This window comes from Homo sapiens, chromosome 10 (genome assembly GCF_000001405.40).
Source record: "Homo sapiens chromosome 10, GRCh38.p14 Primary Assembly".
Taxonomy (NCBI): domain Eukaryota; kingdom Metazoa; phylum Chordata; class Mammalia; order Primates; family Hominidae; genus Homo; species Homo sapiens.
Genome location: NC_000010.11, coordinates 30,509,275 through 30,513,120, shown reverse-complemented (window position 1 = coordinate 30,513,120; position 3,846 = coordinate 30,509,275). Strand labels below are relative to the sequence as shown.

The 3,846-nt window shown below is 43.7% G+C and overlaps 1 annotated feature.

The window, feature by feature from the left end:
- Positions 2,262-2,491: an enhancer, noted in NCBI's record as "active region_3217". NCBI's record gives its function as "activates an Ori minimal core promoter by ATAC-STARR-seq in GM12878 lymphoblastoid cells {active_cell/tissue: GM12878}" and the evidence as "EXISTENCE:reporter gene assay evidence [ECO:0000049][PMID:35858748]".

The following is a 3,846-nucleotide window of genomic DNA, read 5'->3' as shown; positions in this document are numbered from 1 at the left end:
TCAGCCTCCCGAGTAGCTGGGATTACAGGTGCCCACCACCACACCCAGCTAATTATTGTATTTTTGGTAGAGATGGGGTTTTGCCATGTTGGCCAGGCTGGTCTCGAACTCCTGACCTCAGGTGATCCACCTTCCTCGGCCTCCTAAAGTGCTGGGATTACAGGGATTACACCCAGCTGAAGCTGCTCACAATTTAGTGAGGGAAGTCAGACATGTAAAACATAACCTATAATGCAAAATGTATAAGCAAATTATGCCAGGGGAAAAGGGACTAATTATAACTGAGAAGATCAGGGAAGGCCTGTGGCATTTGAGACGAGCCCTGAGGAGACTTTTAAGGTGTTGAGAAGGAAGGGAAGAGCGTTACTGACCAGGAGGAGGGAACCAGGATCAAAAGCAGAGAGGAGAGAAGGGAAGATCTACAAAGGATGCTGGGAAAATGAGAGAGAGGATACGAGATTCCACCTCCTGCATCTAGCTTACCTCCCACTCCCGTAGAACAGTGTCTGCCACTCCCGTAGAACAGTGTCTGCCTTGAGCAAACAATGATTCACAATTTTTTTTTTTGAGACAGGGTCTCTGTCACCCAGGCTGGAATGCAGTGGCACGATCTCAGCTCACTGCAACCTCTGCATCTGAGGCTCAAACCATCCTCCTGCCTCAGCCTCCCAAGTAGCTGGGATTACAGACATGCACCATCACACTTGGCTAATTTTTGTATTTTTTATAGAGATGGGGTTTCACCATGGCTGGTCCTGAACTCCTGAGCTCAAGTGATCTGCCCGCCTTGGCCTCCCAAAGTGCTGGGATTACAGATGTGAGCCATGGTGCAGGGCCATGATTCACAAAAATTAAAAAAAAAAAAAAAAGAGAGAGAGAGAGAAAGAATGATCTCTGCTGGATCAAGGGTCTACTCATTTTCTCCAGTGAAACAGAAAGAATGTAGCTTGGCCGGGCATGGTGGCTCACGCCTACAATCCCAGCACTTTGGGAGGCTGAGGCAGGTGGATCACTTGAGGTCAGGGGTTCAAGACCAGCCTGGCCAACACAGCAAAACCTCATCTCCACTAAAAATACAAGAAATTAGCTGAGCGTGGTGGTGCGTGCCTATAATCCCAGCTACTCAGGAGGCTAAGTCAGGAGAATTGCTTGAACCCAGGAGGTGGAGGTCATGGTGAGCCGAGATTGTGCCACTGCACTCCAGCCTGGGCAACAGAGTAAGACTCTGTCTAAAAAAAAGAAAAGAAAAGGAAAGAAAAGAAGAGATAGCTTTTGAGCATAGAGAAAGAGGGCTTTGGCTGGGTGCAGTTGTTCATACTGGTAATCTCAGCACTTTGGGAAGCCAAAGTGGGGAGACTGCCTGAGCCCAGGAGCTCCAGACCAGCCTGGGCAACATAGTAAGAATCCATCTCTATTAAAAATAATTTAAAATTTTTTTAAGTTAAAAAAAGAAAAGAAAAATGGCTTTGGTTTGCAACTCCACCATTCACCAATTCTATGCTCTTAGGCTGCACTTCATTCTCCTCCTGTGTCAGAGATACCACAGTTACCCCCACAGAGTTATTTCAAGATATGAAAAGTGTGGGCAAATATACCTTATCCTTATTACATTTCTGTCAAAGGCTTGATTTCCATATTTGGGACATAGAATTTCTAGCTTGCTTGAGCTCAGAGAGAAAGTGGCCTCAAACTCAACCCAGCCATGACAGGTATGACTTTAGAGAAAAGTTGTTTAACCTCTTAACCTCTCTAAGCCTCAGTTTTCTTAACTTTGAAAGCAAGACTGCTTCAGGGGCAGGTGATTAGGTTTCATTTCACTTGCCAACTTCTATTGATGGGCAATGGTTGCCTGGCACCCTGAGCATGGAAGATTTCTGAATCTTCTTTTAGTGTCTGTGGGAGAAAAGGTCCTGACCAGTTAGCATCTGGTCAGTGTGTTGAGAGCAAGGGCTGCAGCCTTAGTCCTATTCCAAATTCCTATGAAGCAGAGGTAAAGTGAAACAGCGGTCGACCATCCAGACAGTCTAAATGATCAAGACTGTGATGAATTCCCTGCTTATCTGGCATTTTCTTTAAGTGAACAAGTCAGTGTATGACATAGGCTGATTTCATCCCTAACATGAATATCACAAAAGAGATAAGTGTACTTTTAGGAAACGTCCCCTCGTAAGTTCATATCTAAGGTGACATCATGCCAAGGCCTCCTGATGGAGAGGAACATTTTCTGGAGGAAAGTTTTGACCTTTAGAAAGGAATCTTCATTTCAAGCAGGCTTTTGGCTTCCAGCCTTAGTAACCAATGCCCATAATAGTTAGATGTGAAACTCTGATTTAGTGTATGAGTCACTGGAGCCCAGGATGGGACCGGGGAATACCCTGTCCACTAGAGGCGGCCAACTTTGCTGAGGGAGTAGGGGTGAATCAGATAACGGCTACACTTGAGAATCTTTGAGCTGATATTTCCCCCACTGTCTCAAGTAACCCAGGGGCTTTTTCCTTTGTTTTTTTAAAAAAACAAACAAACAAAAAATAAAAAACAAAATAAAAGAATCCACCAATACACCAAGTGGGATTTCGGAAGCTAATTTTCAGATTGTTACATCTTGAATTCTTTTGAAGGCATCTCTTAGTTGTTTGTCTGTTTTAACTTTTTATCATGGGGATTTCAGAAATATACAGAAGCAGAGAGAATGGAACTCACTGACAGGTGCTGATCGCTGGCTTCAGCAGCTGTGAATTCATGGACGGTCTCATTTTACCTACACCCCCTCTACTTCCCATATTCCATCTCCTGGGTGATTTTGACGTAAATACCACACATCATATCACTTCATCAGTAAATTCAATGGTTTTTTTTGTTGTTGTTTTTTTATTTCGAGGAGACTTGCTCTATCACCCAGGCTGGAGTGCAGTGGCACAACCTCAGCTCTCAGCTCACCACAACCTCTGCTTCCCAGGTTCAAGCGATTCTCCTGCCTCACCCTCCCGACTAGCTGGGAATATAGGCGCATGCTACCATGCCCAGCTAATTTTTGTATTTTTGGTAGAGATGAGGATTCACTATGTTGGTTGCCCAGGCTGGTCTGGAACTCCTGACCTCAGGTGATCTGCCCGCCTCAGTCTCCCAAAGTGCTGGGATTACAGGCATGAGCCACCGTGCCTGGGCTCAATTTTTAAATCCGTGTTTCACAAATTAAACAAGCGAAGGCCAAGCAAGTTGGCTTTGCAAACATTAATAACCCATCTGCTATTATTTCACATTTACAGAACTTAACTTGTCCTGGCTCACCCAAGTAGTTAGTGACAGAGCCAGGACCTGAGCCTAGGCGTTGTAGCTCACACCAGCAGATAAAGTGTCTACACATGATACCCCTGTCAAATTGCAGCATGAAATACTGAATGTAGGAGCTTACTGGTAGCTTGCATAAGAGGCTCAACAAATATTTTATCAAGCACCAGCCATGTTCACAATAACCACTTACACATGAATGGTGTTTTGCAATGTACAAAACCCCTTTAAACTTCCTGATAGTCCTCTAAGAGTTATTATTGTGCGTACCTTATATAGAAAGAAACGAATGTTCTGAACAGCCAACTACATTTCTCAGACATTTGACAATAAGGGGAAAGTTTCAAACTCTTACTTCAAGATCAATGTTCCTTTTAATACAGGCTATACAAATTGCAATACACAAAGAAGATTAAAGTAAAAAGCACTGTAGAAGTGTAAGTTATTGTGTGTCTCTCTATCAAAAAAAAAGTGAGCAGTTTTTCATTAAGAAGAGTAAATAGTATATCAACTGAACTCCCTGCAAATGACTTGTGGGTATCTAAAGGGTTCTTGTAT